General features: G+C 55.5%; 1 protein-coding gene and 1 long non-coding RNA gene across 10 annotated transcripts in view, besides 5 other annotated features; one reads left to right on the forward strand and one right to left on the reverse strand.

Moving 5' to 3' along the window:
• Positions 1 to 14,264: 14,264 nt before the first annotated feature.
• On the reverse strand, positions 14,265 to 16,145 carry ZC3H18-DT (ZC3H18 divergent transcript). The gene is made up of 3 exons (NR_146877.1): positions 15,666 to 16,145; positions 15,413 to 15,533; positions 14,265 to 14,887 (listed from the first exon to the last, which is right to left on the reverse strand). It is a non-coding gene; the product is annotated as a ZC3H18 divergent transcript (long non-coding RNA).
• Positions 23,746 to 23,855: an enhancer, noted in NCBI's record as "active region_11354". NCBI's record gives its function as "activates an Ori minimal core promoter by ATAC-STARR-seq in GM12878 lymphoblastoid cells {active_cell/tissue: GM12878}" and the evidence as "EXISTENCE:reporter gene assay evidence [ECO:0000049][PMID:35858748]".
• Positions 23,966 to 24,015: an enhancer, noted in NCBI's record as "active region_11355". NCBI's record gives its function as "activates an Ori minimal core promoter by ATAC-STARR-seq in GM12878 lymphoblastoid cells {active_cell/tissue: GM12878}" and the evidence as "EXISTENCE:reporter gene assay evidence [ECO:0000049][PMID:35858748]".
• Positions 24,256 to 24,585: a silencer, noted in NCBI's record as "silent region_7857". NCBI's record gives its function as "represses an Ori minimal core promoter by ATAC-STARR-seq in GM12878 lymphoblastoid cells {active_cell/tissue: GM12878}" and the evidence as "EXISTENCE:reporter gene assay evidence [ECO:0000049][PMID:35858748]".
• The window catches only part of ZC3H18 (zinc finger CCCH-type containing 18), a 61,562-nt gene continuing 59,635 nt past the window's right edge, over positions 24,565 to 26,491 (forward strand). For all 9 annotated transcript variants that reach the window (NM_001294340.2, XM_011522863.2, NM_144604.4 and 6 more), the window contains exon 1: positions 24,565 to 24,728. The gene's annotated coding sequence lies outside the window, so the exon portion shown is untranslated. The remainder of the gene's footprint in view (positions 24,729 to 26,491) is intronic.
• Positions 24,766 to 24,835: a silencer, noted in NCBI's record as "silent region_7858". NCBI's record gives its function as "represses an Ori minimal core promoter by ATAC-STARR-seq in GM12878 lymphoblastoid cells {active_cell/tissue: GM12878}" and the evidence as "EXISTENCE:reporter gene assay evidence [ECO:0000049][PMID:35858748]".
• Positions 25,106 to 25,155: an enhancer, noted in NCBI's record as "active region_11356". NCBI's record gives its function as "activates an Ori minimal core promoter by ATAC-STARR-seq in GM12878 lymphoblastoid cells {active_cell/tissue: GM12878}" and the evidence as "EXISTENCE:reporter gene assay evidence [ECO:0000049][PMID:35858748]".

Here is a 26,491-nt window from a genome sequence, read left to right on the forward strand (position 1 = left end):
AGAGGTGGGATGGGAGGACTCAATGGGCTTTGAAGATGGGGGGGGTGCCATGAGCCAAGGAACGGGGAGGCTTCCAGAATAAGCAGCTGGTTCTCCTCAGGAGCTCCCAGCTGGGGCCAGCCCTGCTCACGCCTGGACCTCAGCCAGTGAGACCCGCTTCAGTGAGCCCCACTGGCTCCTGAAGGCTGCTGCACCTGACTCAGGATAGCTGGGACTTGGAGTAGGGTGGGACACAGGGCACAGAGGGCCGGCCAGGGCTGCAAAAAGATCCCGGTGGCACCTCATGAGCTGGGGACAGGGGTCCTGTGCCCGACCATCTTGCGTCTCTTTTTGTTTCTACCTTTGCAATAATAATAATACAAGTAAAGTCAGATAGAAGTTCAGGAAGCATGCACATGGGATGCTCCAGTCTCCAGCCAGCACGAGGAAATCATCACTCTCCAATCAAAGGCAGAGGGCGAACAATGGCGCCATCACGGTGCACTGCAGCCTCAACCTCCTGAGCTCAAGGGGTCCTCCCACCTCAGCCTCCTAGGTGCTGAGGACCACAGGCGTGCAGCACCATTCCCAGCTATTTTTTTTTACTTTTTGTAGAGATGGCATCTCACTATGTTGCCCAGTCTGGTATCCACCTCCTTACTTAAGCAATCTTCCTTCCTCAGCCTCTCAAAGTGCTGGGATTACAGGCATAAGCCACCGCACCCAGGCCCGAGGTTGAGCTTTTGAGTGGCTGTCACCCTACTTTCCACAACAGTCACACCGATTGCTGTTCCCATCAGCAGTGCATGCCAGGCCTCCACATCCCACCAACACATGCTGCAGCACTGTCTGACTTCAGCATCTGAATGCATGAGAAGCGGAGTCTCACTGGGGCTGTAATCTGCATTCTCCAGTGACCGGCAGTGCCACGCAGCATCCCCCTGCTCACTGGCCACTGTATGTCTATGGAGAAACATCTGTCCAGACCCATCGCCCATCTCTGCACCTTTCTGCTCATTTCTAAGGTGAGAAAACAGAGGGTGGACAAGGTGAGGGAAGAGAGGGTGGAGAAGGCGAGGGGACAGAGGGTGGGGAAGGTGAGGGGACAGAGGGTGGAGAAGGTGAGGGGACAGAGGGTGGAGAAGGTGAGGGGACAGAGGGTGGGGAAGGTGAGGGGACAGAGGGTGGAGAAGGTGAGGGGACAGAGGGTGGGGAAGGTGAGGGGACAGAGGGTGGAGAAGGTGAGGGGACAGAGGGTGGAGAAGGTGAGGGGACAGAGGGTGGGGAAGGCGAGGGGACAGAGGGTGGGGAAGGCGAGGGGACAGAGGGTGGGGAAGGCGAGGGGACAGAGGGTGGGGAAGGCGAGGGGACAGAGGGTGGGGAAGGCGAGGGGACAGAGGGTGGGGAAGGCGAGGGGACAGAGGGTGGGGAAGGCGAGGGGACAGAGGGTGGGGAAGGCGAGGGGACAGAGGGTGGGGAAGGCGAGGGGACAGAGGGTGGGGAAGGCGAGGAGAGGGTGGGGAAGGCGAGGGGACAGAGGGTGGGGAAGGCGAGGGGACAGAGGGTGGGGAAGGCGAGGGGACAGAGGGTGGGGAAGGTGACCGGACAGAGGGTGGGGAAGGTGCGGGGACAGAGGGTGGGGAAGGTGCGGGGACAGAGGGTGGGGAAGGTGAGGAGACAGAGGGTGGGGAAGGTGCGGGGACAGAGGGTGGGGAAGGTGACTGGACAGAGGGTGGGGAAGGTGACGGGACAGAGGGTGGGGAAGGCGAGGGGACAGAGGGTGGGGAAGGTGACCGGACAGAGGGTGGGGAAGGCGAGGGGACAGAGGGTGGGGAAGGCGAGGGGACAGAGGGTGGGGAAGGCGAGGGGACAGAGGGTGGGGAAGGCGAGGGGACAGAGGGTGGGGAAGGCGAGGGGACAGAGGGTGGGGAAGGCGAGGGGACAGAGGGTGGGGAAGGCGAGGGGACAGAGGGTGGGGAAGGCGACGGGACAGAGGGTGGGGAAGGCGACGGGACAGAGGGTGGGGAAGGTGAGGGGACAGAGGGTGGGGAAGGTGAGGGAACAGAGGGTGACAACCATCCAAGTGTGAAACTCATGGGTATGTGCTTGGGCTGCAGACACCCTGGCCTCACCCCACCTTGGCCCTTTTGATCCATGAGACTGCACAGTTCCCCTCCTGGACCCTTGGTTCCCCCCACACCCAGGAGGCATAGAACAGGCAGGACATCCTGTGGCCAGAAAGATGATCGGGGGTCTCCAGGGCACGGAGCCCCCACCCACACACTACAGTAGGGATTGACAGCAGCCTGACCGCCACTGCCCTTTCCCCTGTAAGGTGGGGTTCCCAGTGGATGGCCAGAGGGTCCCACCCCAGTGGCTCCAATCCCCACCCTCCACGTCAGCACCAGCCAGGTGGTCACCGTCAATGACCCTGTCACCCTCCCGGGGGAAGGGGCTTCCAGGCCCACAGCCCTGGCAGGTTCATGTGGGGCACTGGCCCTCTTCCTGCCCCACCCACCAGCCCTGTGGTCTGGGCGCCTGGCTCACACCTCCCTTCCTCCCACACGCACCAGCCACAGGCTCCAGGGTCTCAGAGGAACTCCTGGGACATCCCTTTATCTGGCACCAAAGCCCGGGGCAGGGCCTGCATGTTGACCGACTGCCTTCTCTGCTCTGGCTGGGCTGAATAGCTGGGCCCAGCTCCCTCCCGGGGACTCTTCCCCCAGCCAGGGTTCACCTGAAGGCACCAGTGAGGCAGCGCCACCCCGAACAGGGGTCCCCAGACTTTGGAAAAATCACAAACCAGAAAACTGTCGACAATCACTTCCGGGTTAGCATAGGACTCTAACCTTATGTTTTTTCCAGATACTGACATTAATTTTTTTAACTATTGCTCAATAGTCTCAATATCTCATAAAAGCACCTTTTAGCACCAAATACAGTAGGATAGCACAATCTCTGCACAAAAAGCCTTTTACACGAAAGTATTATTTTTTTTAATAGAGACGAGTTCTCCCTATGTTGCCCAAGCTGCTCTCAAACTCCTGGGCTCAAGCGATCCACCTGCCTTGGCCTCCCGAAGTGCTGGGATTACAGGCGTGAGCCACCGCGCCCGGCCCACATGAATGATTTATTCCACTTGGCGCTCCTTTTCCTCGTTTCACTGTACATCGATGAAGACATTGGCACCAACGCACAGGTCCATGGATCAGAGTTGAGGAAAGTCTGTTCCAATCTTAACCCTTTTGGTGCTGGCTTTGTTTTACTGAAGACGAAACAGAGGGTCCAAGTGGTTACATCCCGAGCGCCGGCAGTGGCTGCACGAGGCAGGACTGCCTCCAGCTCTAACTGTACTGCACCTGCACCCACCAGCCAGGGTCCGCCGCTTTCAGCCGGAATCCATAGACAATTCACACGGCAAAGAGAGGAGACCAAGCTTGGGTTTCAAAATGAGCTGAAATATCAAAGCAGAATAAAGTCACTTCTTTAAACGTGGGGCCATTTCAGAGTTAATTTCACAAAAGGAGACATCGTGTTGCTTCAAACTGCTGTGCAAACATCAGAGTGACTCGTTATCTAAGTCTCAGTCAGAAACACTGGCAGTCACTTCTGATCTGCGTTAGATTGTAAGTCATTTGTTCTCCTCTAAATAGCAACAAGAGGCCGGGCATGGTGGTTCATGCCTGTAATCCCAACACTTTGGGAGGCCGAGGCAGGTGGATCACAAGGTCAAGAGATCAAGACCATGCTGGCCAACATGGTGAAGCCCTGTCTCTACTAAAAATACAAAAATTAGCCGGGTGTGGTGATGCGCACCCATAATACCAGCTACACGGGAAGCTGAGGCAGAAGAATCACTTAAACCTGGGAGGCAGAGGTTGCAGTGAACCGAGATCACGCCACTGCACTCCAGCCTGGGGACAGAGCGAAACTCCATCTCAAAAAAAAAAGAAAAAAAGAAAAGAAACTCTGAAGTCAGTCTGAAGCCTGGGAGGGACAAAGGTGTTTTGCAGGTTCCTGCAGCTCAGGCACCCAGCGGGGGCTCACTTGAGAGGGTTAAGAGGGTGAGTGCCTGGGAGGAGCCTTCAATCAAAACTTAGCTGTAGCTGAGTCCAACTGTGTGGTACCTCCCCAGCACAGCCCTCTGACCTGGGAACAGGCCCAGAGAACACAGAGGGAGTGAAGGTTGGTTATCTCCCCCTGAGGTCTGCGCTCCTACCCCTGGCTCCTGATCCGAGCCCTTGCTGTCAGAGAAGACAGGAACCTCACACTTCCTGAACACGCGCAATGCCCCTACCAAAACACGGGAGCTGCAGGCGGGCCTTTGGTCTTCTTCTGCTCCGTGCCCATTGCCATCTTCCAGAAGACACACATCATGCCTGTTCTCTCCTTCCACGCCAGGCCAGGGGAGAGGGTGGCCCCCACCCCAACCCCAACTCTGCTCCAACCGAAGGAGCCTCCTCCTGTGTGCACCCCCGTCCCCAGCACGGCGCAGCTCTACCACCAAACAGACAAAGCACAGCCAGCTCTGATTGACCCAGGGAGGCCGGGGACCTTGCCCTCTGGAGCAGCCCACATGGCCCACGGATGGCGCAGTGGCCCCCACACAGAAGGCTGCCCTTGGGCTCCTTTCCGGAGCGGCATGGCCCGGAGGAAGTGGCCAGGTAGCAAGGCCAGGCTACAGTGAGGCTGGCGGAAAGAAGAGGAAATGGGCGTGGACACCATCTGCCGGACTCAGAGCCCTGGGGACTCAGGCAGTCTGACAGCAACCTTGGCCCATGAAAACACGGAGCCTAAGGGGCTCCCGGGAGAGGACAGTCCAGGCTCCGAGCCCAGCTCAGATGAGAGGCTGCCCGGATAATGACCTTCAGAGGGCTCTGCTCATCATTACATGAAATTATGCAAATGAGACTTTATGTATTTATTTAAGAGTCTCTGTTGCCCAGGTTGGAGTGCAGTGGTGTGATCTGGGCTCATTGCAATCTCCACCTCCCAGGTTCAAGTAATTCTCATGCCTCAGCCTCCCAAGTAGATGGGATTACAGGCGTGAGCCACCGTGCCTGGCCAAGACTCTTTTAAAATGCGAATTCAGGCCAGGCGAGGTGGCTCAGGCCTGTAACCCCAGCACTTTGGGAGGCCGAGGCAGGTGGATCACCTGAGGTCAGGAGTTCAAGACCAGCCTGGCCAACAGGGTGAAACCCCGTCTCTACTAAAAATACAAAAATTAGCTGGGTGTGGTGGTGTGGGCCTATAATCCCAGCTACTTGGGAGGCTGAGGCAGGAGAATTGCTTGGACCCAGGAGGTGGAGGTTGCCGTGAGCTGAGATCACGCCACTGCACTCCAGCTTAGGCAACAGAGCGAGACTCCGTCTCAAAAAACAAAAAACAACAACAAAAAAAAACCCACCCCATTAGCAGCCGCCTGCCTCTCCCCCTCCCCAGCCCAGACACCCCCAGTCCTTACCCCTGCTGTGGCTTTGCCTGTTGTGTGCATTCTGGAGACACAGAGGCACACGCATGTAGCCTCTCGTGACCGGCATCTTTCACTCTGCAGAAGGGTCTCAAGGTTCGTCCCAATGTAGCCTGTGTCAGCGTTCCACTCCTTTTTATGGCTGAAGAATTTTCCAGGCACAGATGGACCCCATTTCGTTTTTCCATTCACTCATCAATGAGCACCTGGTCTTGTCACATTTTTATTTTTCATTTACTTATTTATTTACTTTTTGAGACAGGGCCTCACCCTGTCACCCTGGAGTGAGGGTGGAGTGCAGTGGTGTGATCTCAGCTCACTACCACCTCAAATTCCTGGGCCCAAGTCATCCTCCCGCCTCAGCCTCCCGAGTACTTGGGACTACAGGTGTGCACCACCACACCCGGCTAATTGCTCTGTCGCCCAGGCTGGAGTGCAGTGGTGCAATCTCGGCTAACTGCAACTTCCGCCTCCTGGGTTCAAGCGATTCTCCTGCCTCAGCCTCCTGAGTAGCTGGGATTACAGGCGTGCACCACCATACGTGGGTAATTTTTGTTTTTGTTTTTGTTTTAGTAGAGATGTGTTTTCACTATGTTGGTCAGGCTGGTCTTGGACTTCTAACCTCAAGCAATCCACCTGCCTTAGCCTCCCAAATTGCTGGGATTATAGGCATGAGCCACCACACCAGGCCTGATTTTTTTTATTTATATTTTTTGCAGAGATGGGGGCCTCACTGTGTGCCCAGGCTGGTCTTGGACTGGCTTCAGGCAATACTCCCACCTCAGCCTCCCAAAGTGCTGTGTTTACAGGTGTGAGCCATTGCCCAGCCTCATCACATTTTTTAATGTGCTCATTGGCTGCCGACAGGTGCCAGCTCTGGACTGGGTTTGGTAGAACTGAACCCCGGGCTCAAGCCCAGCTCCTTCCGCTCCTGGCTGAGCTCCTCCTTCTCAGGGCTTCATGTCATTGTTCCTGAAATGAAGGCTGAAAAAGCCCTCTGCCTCCCACAGGGACACAACCTTGTCCAGGGGCTCCACCGCTGGGAAGCCTGGCCTCGCTGATCCTCCGGGTCTGTCTTCCCCGGCAACACACTTGTCCCTGGTCACGCCTGCCTGCCACAGGCTCTGTGGCTCCCAGCCCCACACTCCTGAGCCCTCTGGAAGACACACTGCCCCACACATGACCTTCCACACCCACTGGGCCCACAGGGCCCTGCTCCTCCTGACGCATGCCTCCAGCTGTGGGCTGTTCCAAGTGGCGGGAATGCCCTTCCCGTACTCCTCCATGTCCAAATCCTTCTCGGCACGGAGGGGCTGGGGCAATCTTCCTCTGAAACCCCCTCATTTAGAGGCTGTTTTAGGTTGAGCCGTGTCCCTAGCCCCAGGACCTGTGGATGTGGAACCAGGGTCTTTGCAGAGGTAATGAAGGTAAGATGAAGGGTCACAGCTCTGGGCTGCTGCGGCTTATGTCCTGATAAGGAGAAGGAGACAGAGACACAGAGGAGGGGCTGTATGAAAACGGACAGCGAGAAAGCCACCAGCCAGGAGCTGGAGAGGCAGGAAGGGGCCTCCCTGAGCCCTGCAGGGAGGGCAGCCCTGAGACCTCTTGGTTTCAGATTTGTGGCCTCCAGAGCTTTGAGAGAGTAAATTTCTGTTGTTTTAAGCCTCCCACCTCCCGGCTGGTGGTCACGTGTGACGGGGCAAAAACCGAGCCCCGGACCTCACAGGGGTAGAAACCGAGCCCCAGGCCTCAAGGCTTTGCACCTGGGTTCTTGCTATTTAAGTGCACGCTGCACCTCTGACAGCAGCGGGGAGGCTCCTCCAAGACACAGCTGCGTGGCGGCTCTTTCTCCCACGACACAGCATGGCCAGAGGCCCACAGGACGCCACAGAGGTGGTGCCAGCCGGGCTCCCTGGGCTTTTCATAGACCTGGCATCACAGGTGCCACTAAGAGGAAACATTTTGCCAAGTCCTTCAGATAGTGCTCCCAAGAGCCACGGTCGTTCTACTTTATTTTTCTCAAAGCCACGGTTTCAGGTGAGAGAAGAGTTTTCTCTGTCTCCCTCAAACCTGCCATGAAAAGTGAGTTAATCTGCCAGGCGCGGTGGCTCACGCCTGTAATCCCAGCACTTTGGGAGGTTGAGGCAGGCGGATCACAAGGTCAGGAGATTGAGACCATCCTGGCTAACACAGTGAAACCCCATCTCTACTAAAAATACAAAAAATTAGCCGGGCGCAGTGGCGGGCGTCTGTAGTCCCAGCTACTCGGGAGGCTGAGACAGGAGAATGGCATGAACCCGGAAGGCGGAGCTTGCAGTGAACTGAGATGGCACCATGCACTCCAGCCTGGGTGACAGAGCAAGACTCCATCCCCCCAAAAAAAAAAAAGGAAAAGTGAGTTAATTTCACACTCAGGAGGGACAGCATTGGTCATTTAATAAAGCTGCAGAAGCTTGCCTAACTTCAGTGCAGTAACCAAAATTAACGAGTTTATACACTTTCCATTAAAAGACACTTCGTGTGAATGTAGAGGGGAATGCGTGCCGAGTGGAGATCCACTGCTGTTTTGTGGGATCTGGGGAGGAAGGAGTCAGCCCCGGTGGGTTCCTGCAGGGCTGCCGTCTGCAAGCTCCAGCCAGGGCGGGACGCACGCAGTGCAGAGCTGGGACGGACGCCCGCAGTGCAGAGCTGGGACGGATGCGCAGCTGAAATTCCGGCACTGCCACCTCCTCTCTCTCTGACTTGAGCCTGGGGTAGGGGGATCTTCAGTGAGGTCTGGAAAAAAATGACAGAGATGTTATTGCTTCTGTGAAAACCCCAGTGTGCCTGGGGACATCGGCCCAGGCTCATCACTGGGTCACCGCCGGAGGAAGGCCTCCGCGTTTGCTGGTGGCCTCATCACAAGTATAAAATGTTTACAGCCCCAGCTAGCAGAGAGGTGGGAGCCTGGGCAGGTCACCAGGAAGCCCCGGTCAGGCTGGGGTGCTGGTCTCTGGACGAGGGTCCTGTGGCTGCTGGAACAAAAAACCCCAGAGTTAGTGGCTTGAAACCACACAGCTTCATCCTCTCACAGTTCTGCAGGCCAGAAGCTAACGCAGGTTTCTCAGGGCTAAAACTGAGGTGTGGGCAGGGCTGCTTCCTCCTGGAAGGGCTCCGGGGAGAATCCGTTCCTCGCCTTTCCCAGCTTCCAGAGGCTGCCTGCGTTCCTTGGCTCTCAGCCCCTCCTCCATCTTCAGAGCCAGCAGGGCAGCCTCTCCTCTCCTCTCTGACCTGCTGCCCGCCTCTTACGAGGACCTTTGTGGTTCAGGGGGACCCGCCCGGATAATCCAGGGTCATCTCCCCTCTCTTGATCCTTAACTCAGTCATATCTGCAAAGTCCCTTTTGCCAGTGGGGTCCCAAGGGAAGAGCAAGGGTCAGGTCTGGAGCACTCAGGAGGAGAGACTCGAACCTGGAGGTTATGGGCGAGTTCACACCAGGCCCCTGCCCTTGCCTTGTATCTCAGGGACCCAGTCTCTGTCCCAGCCCTCCTCCCTACTCCTTCCGCTGGTCCCGCCTCAGCCAGGCCCCTGGGAGCATTCGAGTCCTCATCTGAAGACCCGCAGCAGCAACCTCGGCCCCACCCCCAGCCCAGCTGGGCCTCCCTGACACAGCCTTCCCGCCTCCTCTCTTGAGCAGGGATGGGCAGTGGGCAGCTGGGAGGCAGGGAGACAGGGACAAAGGACTCCCCTTCCAGGGCTGGTCCAAGCCCCTCCATGCTGGCGCCAAAGGCCTGGTTGGCTTTGAGGGAGGCCCTGCAGCTCCCAGCCTCCCCGCTCCCTCCCACAGCTGCCAACCCTCCACCAGGGAACCCTTGTCTGAGCCAGGGGCCACCGCCCTTCCCCACGGCCCCATTCCTCCAGCCTTGCAAGGCGCCAAGCAAGGGGCATCTCTCTCCCTCGGGCCTCATCCTGCACGCCTGACCTTTCCCATCCCAGGTGTTATCATAACCTTTTAGCAGAATTTTGCCTTAATTCTCAGCATTTTTGGCTTTCTTTTTTTTTTTTTTTTGATAGAGTTTCACTCTTGTCACCCAGGCTGCAGTGCAGTGAGGCGATCTCGGCTCACTCCAACCTCCGCCTCCAGGGTTCAAGCGATCCTCCTGCCTCAGTCTCCCAAGTAGCTGGGATTACAGGCGCATACCACCACACTCAGCTAATTTTTTGTTTTAAGTAGAGACAGGGTTTCGCCATGTTGGCCAGGCTGGTCTTGAACTCTTGACCTCAAGTGATCTGCCTGCCTCAGCCTCCCAAAGTGCTGGGATTACAGGCATGAGCCATTGCACCCGGCCCCCATCCCAGTGTGTTACCATAAACTTTTAGCAGAATTTCCGCTTAATTCCCAGCATTTTCAGCTCCAAGTCTTAACACTTCCCCTCTGTCTTAATGTGGCTCCAGTGGCCCTTCGTCTCTCCCCTGCCCCTTCCATGCCTCCCGCCCCATCCCCACCCCCTCTGCCCACCCCCTGGCTCCTCTCCACCCCCAGCCCCTCCACAGCTCTTTGTCTCCACCTCTAAGACTGGGGCTCCTGGAAGCCACTGGTCCTCATCTTATTATCATCCTGGTCTCCACGGAGCCCAGGACGGAGACTCACACAGCTCAGTGGAGCGTCGCCAAGCTCGGAGGGCACGCAGCACCCTAGCAGCACCTGCAATGGCACCTGTGCTCTCTCTCGGGAGGAGATGATGGCCCCAGCTCAGGGCCCAGAATTCGCGCCTGACTGTGCCCCCTTCCGGACCTAAGGACCGCCCTCTGCTGTGCTGGGACTGCCTATGTCTAGACAGAGCGGGGCTCACTCCCCGACCCAAAGGGTTCCCCAGAGTGTGGCCCCATCTCCAAGGCCCTGCTGCCCCCACTGAAAACCCGCCCAGCCCATGGTGAGCACCGCAGAATTCACAAGGCGCTTCCTGCAGACACTTTCTCCCAAGCGGGCCATGCCTTCATTGCTACTCAGATCTCCCTAAAGCCACTGATGTGGTTTGGCTCTGTGTCCCCATCCAGATCTCATGTCGAATTGTCATTCCCAAGGTTAGGGGAGGGGCCTGGTGGGAGGTGACTGGATCACGGGGGTGGATTTCCCCCTCACTATTCTCAGATAGTGAGTTCTCACGAGATCTGATGGTTTTAAACTATGCGGCACTTCCCCCGCCCCCCACTTTCTCTCTCTCTCTCCTGCCGCCATGTGAGGACGTGCCTGCTTCCCCTTCACCTTCCACCATGATTGTGAGTTTCCTGAGGACTCCCAGCCATGCTTCCTACACAGCCTGTGGAACTGTGAGCCAATTAAACCTCTTTCTTCATAAATGACCCAGTCTCCAGTAGTTCTTTAGAGCAGTGTGAGCCTGGACTCACACAGTCACCCATTTCCGGGACCTTTACCACCAGGCCAGGCAGCCACCAGTCACTTTACACACAGCATCTCGTTTCCTAGCACCTGGGCGAAAGTGCTGTTTTCAGCTCTACTTACAGGCAAGGATGGAAAACCCAGAGGGTTCAGCCAGCCTCACCTGCTCGGGAGGGCACAGCTGGGCCGCCTGTACTGCCTTAGAAGGAGAAAAAGAGAAATGGAAACAGGCTCCACGCTGGGGGCCACTATTCTTACCTCACCATAACCTCACAAGGACTGAGCACACCACGGGGGCTCAGAAACCAGGGTCCCCGCTCAGAAACTGGTCCCCTCACTCACACGTGATGTGGCCACTGAAAATGGCTGGGTGCCCTGGCCGGGCGTGGTGGCTCAAGCCTGTAATCCCAGCACTTTGGGAGGCCGAGGCGGGCAGATCACAAGGTCAGGAGATCGAAACCATCCTGGCTAACACAGTGAAACCCTGTCTCCACTAAAAATACAAAAAATTAGCTGGGCGTGGTGGCAGGCGCCTGTAGTCCCAGCTACTTGGGAGGCTGAGGTAGGAGAATGGCGTGAACCCGGGAGGCGGAGCTTGCAGTGAGCCGAGATCACACCACTGCACTCCAGCCTGGGTCACAGGCAAGACTCCGTCTCAAAAAAAAAAAAGACATCCATGTCCCTAACCCTAACCCTGTGAACGTGACTGTATGTGGAAGAATGGAAGAAAGGTCTTTGCAGACATGATTGAGTTAAAGATGGAGAGAAAGAAGGCATCTGGACAGACCCGACGTGATCATGAGTTCTCCTGAGAGGGAGGCAGAGGGAGATTGGACACAGATGGAAGAGGAGAGGCGTGGGACCACAGAGGCAGAGCAGGAGCTATGCAGCCTCAAGGCACGGGAGCCACGGATGCCTGAGGCCTGGGAACCTGGAAGAGGCCGTGGGGAGCCTTCCCTGCAGCCTGCAGCCCTGCCCGTGCCTCGAGTTCCACTTCATGACTCTGCTATCAGACATCTGGCCTACGGAACTGTGAGGCGATATGTTTCTGAGTGTTTTTGTTGTCACTATTGTTGTCGTTTGAGACAGTGGTGCAATCACGGCTCACTGTAGCCTCGACCTCCTGGGCTGAAGCAAGCCTCCCACCTCAGCCTCCAGAGTAGCTGGAACTACAGGCGTGCACCATCTTTTTTTAGAGATGGGGGTATCACTATGCTGCCCAGCCAGGACTTGAACTCCTGGCTTCAAGCAATCCTCCCGCTTCAGCCTCCCAAGTGCTGGGATTGCAGGTGTAGCCACTGTGCCCAGCCAGCTTCTGTGGCTTTAAGCCGCCCATTGGTGTCACTTGTTACAGCAGACCCAGGACAAGCCACTCAGCTGAATGAGTTTAGAGTCTGATTTTACCCTTTCTGGGCCAGGAATGCCCTGCGGGGCAGGCGGCTGCAGCTGAGCCTTCTAGACCTCTCTCTACTGAAAATACATAAAAGGCGGAGGTTCAAGTGAGCAGAGATCGTGCCACTGCACTCCAGCTCTCCATCTCAAAAAAAAAAAAGAAAAGAAAAACCAAAGTAGCCATTGAGTAAAAAGGGAAATGACAAAAGAGTCTCGCTCTGTCGCCCAGGCTGGAGTGCAGTGGCGCGATCTCAGCTCACTGCAACCTCTGCCTCCTGGGTTCAAGCGTTCATCCTGCCGCAGCCTCCCCAGCAGATGGGATTAGGAGTTAAAGATGTGCGGTGAGTCCCGCGTCCCCCCATGCTCCGGGGGTGTGAGTCGCGCATCCCCCCGTCGGGGGGTGAGTCGCCCGTCCCCCCGTGCTCCGGGGGGGTGAGTCCCGCGTCCCCCCGTGCTCCGGGGGGGTGAGTCCCGCGTCCCCCCGTGCTCCGGGGGGGTGAGTCCCGCGTCCCCCGGTGCTCCGGGGGGGTGAGTCCCGCGTTCCCCCCGTGCTCTGGGGGTGTGAGTCCTGCGTCCTCCCGTTCCCTGGGGGTGTGAGTCAGGCATCCTCCCGTTCCCTGGTGGTGTGAGTCCCGCATCCTCCCGTTCCCTGGGGGTGTGAGTCCCGCATCCCCCCATGCTCCAGGGGTGTGAGTCCCATGTCCCCCTGTACTCTGGGGGTGTGAGTCCTGCATCCTCCCATTCTCTGGGGGTGTGAGTCCCGCGTCTCCCATGGACCAGCGCTGTAAGTCCCATGCCCTCCTGTGCTATGGTGGTGTGAGTCCCGTGTCCTCCCATTCTCTGGGGGTGTGAGTCCCCTGTCTTCCCGTTCTCTGGGAGTGTGAGTCCCATGCCCTCCCGTGCTCCGGTGCTGTGAGTCCCGCGTCCCCTCAAGCTCCGGAGCTGTGAGTCCCGTGCCCTCCTGTGCCTGGTCGTGCAATGTTGAGTTCGGCACTGAAACTCTCTGAGCTTCATTTTTTACCATCAGCACCCTGCTTCCCAGCGCCTTTGGGAGGAGCAAAGGAGAAAGTCGGGCCCAAGGCCCCAGCAAGAGGCCAGCCCTTGACAGCTGTTAGCTGGACTTTGCTTCCGTCCTGAAACAATACAACTTCTGAACCACACGGAGCGCTGTTGGCCAGAAACTCAGAATCGGATGGGTCCCCATATCTGTGTTTTAAAAGTCACTCCAGACTTCTCCAGGGCACAGCCCTGTGCTTCCGGGGCCTGCAGGCTGGGGGGAGGGGAGGAGAGGTGGGCTGCTGGGGACACTCACAGGCACCTTGACTCCCCTGGGCCCCCTGGTGTTCCCTGCCCTTTTTTTTTTTTTTTTTTTTTTTTTGGAGACGGAGTCTCGCTCTGTCGCCCAGGCTGGAGTGCAGTGGCACTATCTGGGCTCACTGCAAGCTCCGCCTCCTGGGTTCACGCCATTCTCCTGCCTCAGCCTCCTGAGTAGCTGGGACTACAGGCGCCCACCACCACGCCTGGCTAATTTTTTGTATTTTTAGTAGACACGGGTTTTCACCATGTTAGCCCGGATGGTCTCAATCTCCTGACCTCGTGATCCACCCACCTCGGCCTCCGAAAGTGCTGGGATTACAGGCATGAGCCACCATGCCCGGCTCCCTGCCTTTTCTTTCTTTCTTTCCCCTTCCTGTCTTTTTTTTATTGAGTGAAATTCACATAACATAAAATTAACCATTCTGGGCTGGGTGCTGTGGCTCATGCCTTGTAATCCCAGCACTTTGGGAGGCCAAAGTGGGCAGATCACCTGAGGTCAGAAGTTCGAGATCAGCCTGGCCAACCTGGTGAAACCCGATCTCTACTAAAAATACGAAAAATTAACCTGGCATGGTGGCAGGCGCATGTAATTCCAGCTACTCAGGAGGCTGAGGCATGAGAATCACTTCAACTGGGAGGCAGAGGTTGCCGTGAGCCGAGGTCCCACCACTGCACTCCAGGTTCGGCCACACAGTGAGTCTCCATCTCAAAAAAAAAAAGAAGAAGAAGGAGAAGAAAAAGAATTTTTCAGCATCCCAGAGGCCCCTGGCCTCCCAGCCACTGTCCCTCCCTTCCTGGAGGCCAGCCACCATTGTGATGAAGAGAACCCCGTCTCTCCCTCAACATGCACCCCAAAACACCATCCTCTATGTTGCCTGTTTGTGATCCACACAGAATTCCACAGAATTGAGCCTGGCCACTTCTGCTCAATGTGATTGAGAGAGGCTTCCTTGCTGCGCATAACTGCAATTCGCCTGTCTCCACTGCCGCGGAAGGGCCCGGCGACGGGATAGACCATGATTCGCCCGTCTCCACGGCCACGGAAGGGCCCGGCGATGAGATAGACTGCAATACATTTTCCCATGAAGCTGTTGATCGGCTCCTGGGCTGTTTCTGGTTTGGAGGGTGTCATGAATGAGGCTGGCATGAGCACATGAGTTCTGGCTGAGTAGTATTTTCAGCAGCTTGGCCAAAAGGTATGACTTTTCAGGACCTGGCTGAAGGAGGGACTCCAGAGAAAAGGGCTGATGGGCGGGAAAGCGCTGGCAGAGGGGATGGCCAAGCCACAGCTGGCAGGCTATGGTTCCCAGAGCCCCAATCAACACACCTCAGCTCCCAACTGGGGCTACCTGGAACGACAGGAAAGGCTGACTCCATGAGCTGTCATGGCGTGGAAGACCCAGTTGTGCCCAATGGACGCAAGCTCCCTCCATTTCTGGCCATCCCCTGCTGATTCCCTCCCACCCCCACCTCCAGCCCGACCCCGCCTTCTCCACCAGGTGCCCTCCCATGAATTCAGCTCCATGGACAGCTCCCAGGCTGCTGTCCTCCATGTGGTGCTGAAATCACCCCAACAGAGAAGCCAAGACATGGAGAAGCTAAGGAAGAAAATGGAATGAAATGGCATGGGATGGAGCTACAGAGCCATCAGTCCTGAACCCGCCACCACGTAGAAGTGGAGGCAGGGGTCCAGAGAGGGAAGTCTTTTGCCTAAAGGGGTCATGAAGTGCTCGGTGGTAATAAATGGAATCGTCTACGACGACCGAGATTTACAGAACCCTGTCTGCATGCCAGGCACCACGCTGAGTGTTCGTATGTGGACCGCCACCGTCAACCCACACGGCAAGCTCAAGAGTAGGGCCCTACGATTGTACCTGCTCAACAGAGGAGAAGCCTCATCGGTGAGCAGCAGAGCTGGGCCTGGAACCTGTGTCTTCAGCCCTACCCCGGGCCTTTCCTCCCCTTGCCCTTGGTCTCAGTGGGTCCACTGTTTCTCTAGAACCAGAAAATGACAGTCACAGCAGCGTTGACGTCACCCCCAGTATATGAGTCAGGGTTCTCTAGAGGGACAGCACTAATAGGACAGATGTATACATGGAGGGGAGTTTACTGGGAGTATTGACTCACATGATCACCAGGTGAAGTCCCACAATAGGCCGTCTGCAAGCTGAGGAGCCAGGAAGCCAGTCCGAGTCCCAAATTCCAGGCGGTGAAATGGCAGCTGAACTGACATTCATTCATTCATTCATTCATCAATCAATCATTCATTCACCCCCACCAGCCTGCAGAGGTCCTACGGTGCCAGGCCCTGGGGCTGCAGAAACAACAGAAAAGCCCCCAGCCTCAAGCTCAGCTGCGCCGGGAATCCTTTCCCCGGCCTCCTTGGGGTGTCTGAGACCTCGTCAAAGAGTTGGGGGCCCATGGACATCTCGAGGGAAAGGCAGGGGGCCAGATGGGGTCAGAGCCAGCATCCCTCCAGAGGCTGGGACAGGGACTGGAGTGGACTCACTGTGTCTGTGGTGGGGGCCATGATGGAAGTGGGGGTCCCACACAGAACAGACAGGGCTTCCTGCAGGTTTCACCTGCAGTCCAGGGCCTGGGACCACCCCCACCCCCCCATCCCCCATCCCCCACCCCCCCACCCCCCCACCCCTCTATCACCCTTCACCCCCCCATCCCCCCTTCCCCCCGGGAACAGCGGCTGGGCGGAGTGGGAGTGCCCTCTGGTGGCTCTTTGAGGAAATAGCAAGGGCTATCCTTCGTAAAATGCTTTCAGACAGAACCGCTGGTATGGCACTCGGCCTCCCGCTGAAGACATGGATACAGGCTGGACACACACGCTTCGCTGTGTGATACACGCATGTAACGGGGCCTGTGGGGAGTAACCAGCGCTGGTGGGGCCCGGGGCTATATCCCTTGAGCGAACATAAACAAGAAAGTGAGCCCACGTTCAGCCTGGTTTTCCTTGTGGGGCATCTTCCCACATTGGCGTGGAGGTCCAAAAACAGAAAGCACAGCCTTGCCGAGCTGAGAAACAGGGATTAGAGTTTGAGGCTCCAAACCTGCTGGGGCCTGAGGGAACTTGGAGAAAGAGCCCAAAGCCCTGAGTGCAAATCCCCTTCAGGCCGTGGCCGCCCCCTAAGCTGAATATGCCCCCAAGAAACTCCAAGAAACCCAACAGAAAAGGCTCCCGGGAGGATGGAGAGCTGAGCAGGGGTGTTGGCAGCTGCGACGGGCTGGAGACCAAGCCCTGTGGGGGGCGGGGGCTGGTGACCATCACAGGCTTTCCCTTGGGAGCACAGAAGTTCCACTCCCTGGGAACAAGGGCTGTAACCCCCAAAGCCAGTCTGGACAGGGCTAACCTGGGCGCGATGGCTCATGCCTGTAATCGCAGAGCAAAAAAAAAGAATAAGAAAAGTTACAAGGTGTCTTAGTCTGTTACCTGTTGCTATAGCTTAAGAGTGGGTAATTTATAGAGAAGAGAGGTTTGTTTCTTACAGTTCTGAAGGCTGGAGGTCCAAGAGCATGGCGCTGGGCAAGAGCACGCCAGCCCAAGTCTCTCTTTCTCTTCTTTTCTTTCAAGATGGAGTCTCGCTTTGTCACCCAGGCTGGAGTGCAGTGGCACCATCTTGGGTCACTGCAACCTCTGCCTCCTGTCTCAGCCTCTCAAGTAGCTGGGATTATAGGCACCTGCCACCACGCCCGGCTAATTTTTGTATTTTTAGTACAGACGGGGTTTTGTCATATTGGCCAGGCTGGTCTCCAACTCCTGACCTCGTGCTCCGCCCACCTCAGCCTCCCAAAGTGCTGGGATTACAGGCGTGGGCCACCGCGCCCGGCCCGTTTCTTTTGTTATGAGGCCACTAGTCCCATCATGGGGGCCCACTCTGATGACCTTATCCAATCCTAATTACCTCCAAAAGCATATAATTGTGGAGATTAAGTTCCCAACACATAAAGTCTAGGAGAAACATTCAAACCATAGCACAAGGCATGCTCTTAGAAGGGACCAGAAGCCGGGAGTGCATGCCTGTATTCCCAGGGACGAGGGAGGCTGAGGTGGGAGGATCACTTGAGCTCAGGGGGTTGAGGCTGCAGTGAGCCCTGTTCATGCCACTGCACTCCAGCTTGGGCAACAGAGTCAGACCTTGTCTCAAAAAAGAATAAAATAAAAATAAAAAAAGAAGAAGGGACCAGATCACCAGACATGGTGCTGATGCCCATAATCCCAGCACTTTAGGAGGCCAAGGTGGGAAAATCATTTGAGCGCAGGAGTTTGAGACCAGCTTGGGTAACACACTGGGAACCCATCTCTACAAAAAACGAAAACAATAGCTGGGCATGGTGGTGCACACCTGTACTCCCAGCTGCTCTGAGGGCCGAGGTGGGAGGAGCGCTTGAGCCCAAGAGTTTGAGGCTGCAGTGAACCATGATTGTACCACTGCACTCCAGCCTGGGCAACACATGCAAAACCCCGTCTCAAAAATGTGGGAAGGGCAGGGCACGACAGCTCACACCTGTAATCCCAGCACACTGGGAGGCCAAGTCAGGTGGATCACCTGAGGTTGGGAGTTTGAGACCAACCTGGCCAACATGATGAAACCCTGTCTTTACTAAAAATACAAAAATTAGCCAGGCATGGTGGCACATGCCGGTAGTCTCAGCTACTCGGGAGGCTGAGACAGGAGAATCACTTGAACCCGGGAGGCGGAGGTTGCAGTGAGCCAAGATCGTGCCGCTACGCTACACTCCAGCCTGGGGGATGAGTAAGACTCTGTCTCCAAAAAAAAAAGAGGCAGGGACTAGATCACTGAAAACCAAGAGAAAAAGCACTTAATAGCGACGACAGAATCAGAGGTGGTTCAGATATAGGAGGCCTTCAAAATGATAACATGCTACTTTCTTCATGTTGCTCCCCTGCTCAAAAGCCTGCATTGCTTCCCCTTGTTCTTCAATGGGGCAGTCACTACTTTCTTTGCAAGCGGCTTTGCACAATGCCAAGAAAAGAGCTGAGAACGCTGGGTTTCAGTGTGGGCTCTGGCTAAGCCAGGGGTGGTCTTGGACAAGTGATCTCTGGGCCTCGGCCTCCTTCTCTGCACATAAGGCAACTGGAAGAAGTTCCTGCCTCCAACTCTTCTCTCCTAGCAGGTGCTCTAAGGGCTGAGTCATTGTCACAGGGCTCTGCTAGCGAGGTGGGCCTGTGTGGATGCACACTTTGTGAAAACTCATCAAACTGCACACTTACAAGTGTGCATTTTGGGCTGGGCGTTGTGGCTCACACCTATAATCCCAGCACTTTGGGAGGCCGAGGCAGGCGGATCACGAGGTCAGGCCAATATGGTGAAACCTCGTCTCTATTAAAAAATACAAAAATTAGCCAGGCGTGGTGGCGCACCCCTGTAGTCCCAGCTACTCAGGAGGCTGAGGCAGGAGAATCGATGGAACCCAGGAGGCAGAAGTTGCAGTGAGCCGAGATTGCGCCACTGCACTCCAGCCTGGGCAACAGTGCAAGACTCCGTCTCAAAAAAAAAAAAAAAAGTGTTCATTTTGGCAAACCCCAACTCAATAAAGTTGGGGTTTTTTTGTTGTTTTTTGTTGTCGTTTTGAGACAGAGTTTTGCTATTGTCGCCCAGGCTGGAGGGCAGTGGCGCAATCTTGGATCACTGCAACCTCTACCTTTTGGGTTCAAGTGATTCCCCTGCCTCAGCCTCCCGAGTAGCTACGATTGCAGGTGCCCGCCACCACACCCGGCTAATTTTTGTATTTTTAGTAGAGACAAGGTTTCACCATGTTGACTAGGCTGGTCTCGAACACCTGACCTCAGGTTATCTACCTGCCTCGGCCTCCCAAAGTGCTGGGATTACAGGCATGAGCCACCACACCTGGCCTAAAGTTGATTTTTAAAACTAGCTTCCTGCCTCTTCCCTCCCAGTTTCCACCCCCAATTGGCAACAAGTTTTAACTCTTTTCATGGTCTCTTCCGGCATTTTCCCGATCTCCAGTAATATTCATACCAATGTTTCTTGACTTTTTCTTAATAAGGGCACTAGTCACACTCCCAGCAGCAGAGTACGTGATTCTAGTTGCTCCACATTCTTGTGAAAAAAAAAATATGAAATTAATTTTTTAGACCAGTTTTAGGTTTAAAGAAAAATGAGAGGCCAGGCACAGTGGCTCACGCCTGTAATCCCAGCACTTTGGGAGGCTGAGGCGGGTGGATCACGAGGTCAGGAGATCGAGACCATCCTGGCTAACATGGTGAAACCCCGTCTCCACTAAAAAATACACAAAAATTAGCCAGGCGTGGTGATGGGCGCCTGTAGTCCTAGCTACTCGGGAGGCTGAGGAGAATGGCGTGAACCTGGGAGGTGGAGCTTGCAGTGAGCCGAGATTGCGCTACTGCACTCCAGGGTGGGCAACAGAGTGAGACTCCATCTCAAAAAAAAAAAAGAAAAATGAGCAGAGTTCCCCTGTACCCCCAGCACCCCTGCCCATCTCCCCTCTTATTAACACCCTGCACTGGTGCAGAACATTTATTACAATTGAGATAGGAGGCAGGACTTGACTCCAGAGGCAGGGCTTGGAGCTGGGACCAAACAGGACTGGCTAAAACAGGGCAGGGCAGAAGCAGCTTTTTATAAGACACACCAGACTGGGCGCAGTGGCTCATGCCTGTAATCCCAGCACTTTGGGAGCCCAGGCAGGCAGATCACCAGAGGTCAGGAGTTTGAGACCAGCCTGGCCAACATGGTGAAACCCTGTCTCTACTAAAAATACAAAAATTAGCCAGGCATGATGTCCCATGCCTGCAGCCCCAGCTACTCAGGAGATTGAAGCAGAAGAATTGCTTGAGCCCAGGAGACAGAGGTTGTGGTGAGCCGAGATCAGGCCACTGCACTCTAATGTGGGTGACAGAGGGAGACTCCGTCTCAGGAAAAGAAAAAAAAGACACACCCACCAGTGTTCTGTGTCAGTTTACCATCGCCATGGCAACACTCCCACCCCTTTCCATGGCAATGACTCAGTGACCCAGAAGTGACTACTCCTTCCCCAGAAATTTCTGCATAAACTGCCCCTTAATCTGCATGTAATTAAAAGTGGGTATAATGGGTCTGCAGAAGTGCGTTGAGCTGCTGCTCTCTGCCTTCTGGGCAGCCCAGCTCTGCAGGAGCCGTCACGGACCTGCCACACTGCCTCTTCAATCAAGTTGTTCTCTTCTACCTCCGGCTTGTCCTTGAATTCTTTCTTGGGCAAAGCCAAGAACGCTGGCAGGCTAAGCTCCACTTTGGGCCTCACCTGCCCTGCATCACAACCAACCAGCCCGTATCGGGACACGATCATTGACTTAAGTCCACAGTTTACATTACAGTTCACTCTTGGCGTTGTGCGTTATGTGGGTTTTGGCAAATACGTAACGTCCCATAGCTGCCATTATGGGACATTACATATTTGTACTTCTTCATACAGAAGAGTTTTGCCACCCCAGAAATGAGGCTTAAAAGTCATTTACCCACTTCCTGCTCTGGAAGAGGAGGGTCTGTGCTCTCACCGCCTGGCACGCCGTGTTCCATCCAGCCTCTGCTCTCTGAATGGTTTTTAGGCTAAATAAAATGTTTACTAAATATTTTTAAGCACTAATAACAATAACGGCCTTATGCAGTGGCTCACACCTGTAATCCCAGCACTTTGGAAGGCCAAGGTGGGAGGATCGCTTGAGGCCCAGAGTTTGAGACCAGCCTGGGCAACAGAGTGAGACCCCCACCTCTACAAGACCCCCACCTCTACGAAATGAACAAATAAACAAACATGATGGACTCCAGCTTAAAAACAGAACATCCCAACCAGGTCACGCTACTGACTATCAGCCCCCACCGCAGGCTCCGTGGCACTGCCTCCTGGTCACTGCTCCTGGGGCCCCCATCACCGCAGATTCGGCTGCCTGTAATGAGTCGCAGCAACACGAGCCGAAGCATTTGTGTCTGGTTTCTTCTGCGCAACATCCTGCCTCTGAGATCCATGTTGCTTGTAGGGGTAGCGTGTCCTTTTCGTTCCTGTACGATATTCCATTGCATGGGGGTTACACCCCAGCTGGTTCATCGTTCTGTCACTGAAGCACCTTGGGGTTCCTTCTAGTCCGGAGTGTAACGAGTCATGCTGGGGTGAACGATCTTGGATGTGCCTTTTGCTGGACGTAGCAGCTCATCTCTTCCGGGAAGTCACAGAGGAGTAGCACGGCCCAGGTGCCGCCGCACGAAGGCTGCGGTTCCGTGAGCGCCGTCGCAGGCTTCTGGAGCGGGGCCACCATTTTCACTCGAGCACAGGCCGCAGGCTCTGGGTGCCCCACACCCTCAGCAAAACCGCTCATGATTTCAATTTGATAGAAACGTGGACCGGGCGCAGTGGCTCACGCCTGTAATCCCAACACTTTGGGAGGCCGAGGCGGGAGGATCACGAGGTCAGAAGATCGAGACCGTCCTGGCTAACACGGTGAAACCCCGTCTCCACTAAAAATACAAAAAAATTAGCCGGGCGTGGTGGCGGGCGCCTGTAGTCCCAGCTACTCGGGAGGCTGAGGCAGGAGAATCGCTTGAACCCAGGGGGCGGAGGTGGCAGGGAGCCGAGATGGCGCTACTGCACTCCAGCCTGGGCGACAGAGTGAGACTCTGTCTCAAAAAAAAAAAAAAAGAAAGAAAGAAAGAAAAGAAATGTGCCCACCCTGTCTGCTTCTGCACTTGCCTTTGTCATGCAACCTCACAGATGGTCTTCACCCGTTTATTTATATCTGTGTATACACACTGGAGGTTCATGCGTTAGCATTTTTAACAACCGCGATGTTGCAAATGTTGTACCAGATTACTATTACAACAGTACAATCATCTGCTCATCAACATCTGGGTGGTTTTCTGGTTTTTTCCTTTGTTCTTTTTTTTTCTTGAGACGGAGTCTCGCTCTGTTGCCCAGGCTGGAGTGCAGTGGCATGATCTGGGCTCACTGCAAACTCCGCCTCCCGGGTTCATGCCATTCTCCTGCCTCAGCCTCCCGAGTAGCTGGGACTACAGGCGCCCGCCACCACGCCCGGCTAATTTTTTGTATTTTTAGTAGAGACGGGGTTTCACTGTGTTAGCCAGCATGGTCTCGATCTCCTGACCTCGCGATCTGCCCGCCTCGACCTCCCAAAGTGCTGGGATTACAGGCATGAGCCACCGTGCCCGGCTCCTTTGTTCTTTTAGTTATGACTACTAACAGACCTGCTATGTCCTTGTTCATGTCTCATGCCCACGGGCAGATGACACCCCAGTCCGGTGGCCCACCTGTACCACTGGGCATCAGAATCCCCTGAGAGCTCTTCATGGACCACAGGGCCCTGGGACCTCACTCCCAGTCACTGGTGCGGCCACTCTGGGGCAGAGCCCAGGAAGGCACATTGCTAACAACCCCTAGTGATACTGAGGCTGCTTGCCCGGGTCCCACTTGGAGAACCCTGTCGAGGGTGGCACTGCTGGTCACAGGGCACTTCTTTTAACTAACATTGTTTTCCAAAGAGGCTGTGACCAACAGAGTTTACTGTTCATGAAACTCAGATCGCAGACAGGCACGTGTCTGTCACAGCCGGTGCCGGCCGCTCCTTTCCATGGACAGTAACGTCCATGCAGGCTTATGTTCATCAGCTGAGAAAAGGGCACTTGCTGGGTGGGACCTTGTCTTATCGACACATAGAGTCTGCAGAAGGTGCCAACTGGTGTCGCAGGGCTGCTCCTGACACGACCCAAAATCACCAGGGTTGAATTCACATTCCTCTTACGTAACCATAACAAGTTGCTGGGACTACAGGCACGCACCACGGTGCCCTGTTAATTTTTTTGTAGAGACAGGGGTCTTGCTTTGTTGCCCAGGCTGGTCTCAAACTCCTGGAGGAGGTGGTCCTCCCACCTTGGACTCCCAAAGTGCTAGGATTACAGGTGTGAGCCACAGTGCCAGGCCTGTGGTACCTCTTCCAAGGACACTAATCCTATCAGATCAGGACCCCACCCTTATAATCTCATTTAACCTTAATTACTTCTCTAAAGGCCCTTTCTGCAAACACAGTCACATTGGGGATTAAGGCTTCACATACAAATGTTAGGGGGACAGAACTCGGTCCATAGCATGGAGTCGCACAGGTTTTGTCCTTTTGCGATTGGCTTGCTTTACTTAGTATGTTTCCAAGGTTCACCCATGTTGTGGCATGGGTCTGAACTTCACTCTTCTTGATGACTGACTCACACTCCACTGCATGGACAGCCAGCATTTTGTCTGTTCCTCAGTTTGTGGACATCTCGCCCCCTTGTTTCCACCTTGGGGATATGGAGGAAGATGGGATGAGCGAAGCCCTGTGATCCCCAGGACCAGCCACGTCGTTGGCAAGGGTCAGCGCAGGATGAAACCGCCGGCCCCTGGTCTCCGGCCGGGCCCTCCGTCTCTAGAGCAGCTCGCACCGCTGCAGCCCCTGGACGCCCCGGGCTGTGGACGCGCCCGTGGGACACCGCGCTGAGCAGGACACGCGACAGGTCCCCTCACTGGCGCTGCTCGCGTTGAACCGCGCGGGGAGCCAGGCAGCCCACGGGAAAGGTAAGAATTGTTAGGCTTTTAATCTAAAGTCGATACCTCAAAAAATAATTCCGGAGGTAAGCATTTAATATCAACATTCAATAAAGCAGGAAGTATCAGCCCGACGAAGACCGCCTTAAGTTTTCCACTTTGATGAACTCGATCATCCCCGGGGATGAAGAACCCGCCGGCCCAGCCGGAGCCCCGTCACGTGACCCGGCGGCCGCGGGGAGCTCTGTGCGCAGGCGCGGATCCGCACGCCCGCCGCCTGAGAAGCGAACTCCCCGTGGCGCCTGCGCTGTAGCGGGGGTTCGGCTGGCTCGCGCGGGTCCGGGCGCGCGCTGCGGGGGCGGAACCGCGCGGAGGCCGGAAGGAAGCTGGAGGGGGCGGGGCGAGGGAGGGAAGCCCGCCGGCCGTAGGACTACCGTCGCGGCCTGATGACGTCGCACAATGGCCGGCCCCCGCGGGTAGTGGAGCCCGTTTGTTCCGCCCGTGTCGAGCCTGGAGCCAGAACCTGTGAAGAGCGGAAGGGCCAAGGGACGTCTTCTCCACGCCGCTCCGACTCCAGGGGAGCCGTGGCCTCCTCTCCGCCCTAGCGCTGAGGTTAGCTGGGGCCGGGAGGGCGGCGGGAGGCCGGGCCGGCGGCGGCGGGAGGAGGAGGCCGCCGAGGCGGCGGCGGCGGCCGCGGGAGGGAGGCCCGGGAGCCCGGCGCGCCTCCGGCCGTGCGGACCCACCGGCCGAAGCGTGGCCCTCGGGCCCAGGGAAGGGGACCTTGAGACAGGCACCACCCCGAGTTCCGTCCGTAAGCCGGCCCCGCGGTCCTGGGGCGCCCTGGGCGCCCGAGCTCCTCGCGCGCTGCCTCCGCGCCCCGCGGCAGAGTTTATTTTCCTGAAGCTGTCATTTCTCTTCCGGGCCACTCGCGTGGCACATGTGTGCCGCCGGCTAAGGGGCGGTGAGAGGCGCCCAGATTCACCTCCAGAGTAGGTCATCCCGGGCTGCTGCTGGGCTCTTCGGAGAACTTTGAGCTCTTTATGAACCTCCTGGAACTTGCTCCGCAGCTTCAAAGTGTGCACAGGTTGGGCGCAGTGATTGCCCCAAGACGCGCGCCGGTCTCTTAGGAGTATGTAACTTCCTTGCCCCTTGGATTAGGAGATCAGAGGTGCTGGGTCCTTTATATAGACCAACTGCAGCTATAATGCTGGAAGAACTGAAACTTAACAGCCTTACTCCTGCCAAACATTTTTCCTGAATACTTTATGACAACTGAGTTTGCCGGGTAGAGTGGCCGTTTTAAATGAGCTTTGTTCGAACAACGCTAACTCATTTGCAAGAGTAGGTCATTCTTCAGACCCATTTGGGAAAATGGAAGAAGAGAGTGTTTGGCATCTGAAGTACCGTTTGGGGTGTAGCAAGGTGCTCATCATGTCTCCTGTTAGACTCACCTCCAGCCTGTTGTCTGTAGAGTAGTCCTTTCCCGTTCAGTAGTTGGGATTATCCGGGTGAGGTTTGACCTCGGCTGAATCCCGCTTCCCAGCTTTGGGAGGAGAGTCTTTTCCTGATAATTTTACTATCTAAGGGCAGTATGGAGCCCAGCCAGCCCTGGAACCAGTCAAATGTGTCCCAAAGCCGGAAACTCCTCTCCCGTTGTAGGTGGGACATGCTGAAATATTGTAAGAAAGCTTTGTGGAGTCACTCCAGAAAGCAAACAGGTAAGTTAACCTATGGCCTACATCGTGTTTACAGAGATTTGTATTTTGTCACAGCTACAGAGCATCTCAAGGTGAGTACCTCTTTATCAAGGAGTTTAGTGGTCACGCTTGGTCACTTTGCACGTGGGGTCTGTCACCAACCTTGATAACGTTCATTTAGATATTTTAAGTCCATGAGGTTATGAGTCAGAATTTTAACCAGATGTACCAGAACTTAGGCATTCAAATAGGTACTGCTCTGTTGAAAGTAATTGTCCCAAAATGTGCTTGTATTTCATCGGTGCTTCTTTGCCAGAATCTCTTTAGAACTCCTGTTGTGGTAGTAAAAATGTAGTCATATGGGAAAATCAGTCTTATTCAATAGTCACCCTCCAGGTTTGACCAAAAGTTTACTTACGTGGTTGGTAGCTCACCTTATCAGGTGAGACTCTGACTTGCAGCACTTTATCAAAGTGACTAGCTTGAGAGGAGGAAGATTTGCCACCACTAAGAATACCAGAAGACTTCTTTAGGCTTGGAAGGTCATTCGCAATGAGAAGGTCCCCAAACGCTCTGCATTTCAGCAGTGCCGTTGGAGTCTGTGCATCCTCCCAGAGGGGCTGCTCGGAAGGGAGGTAGCACCTGCTCTTTATTATTACTATTATTTTTTGAGACGGA

This window comes from Homo sapiens, chromosome 16 (genome assembly GCF_000001405.40).
Source record: "Homo sapiens chromosome 16, GRCh38.p14 Primary Assembly".
Lineage (NCBI taxonomy): Eukaryota > Metazoa > Chordata > Mammalia > Primates > Hominidae > Homo > Homo sapiens.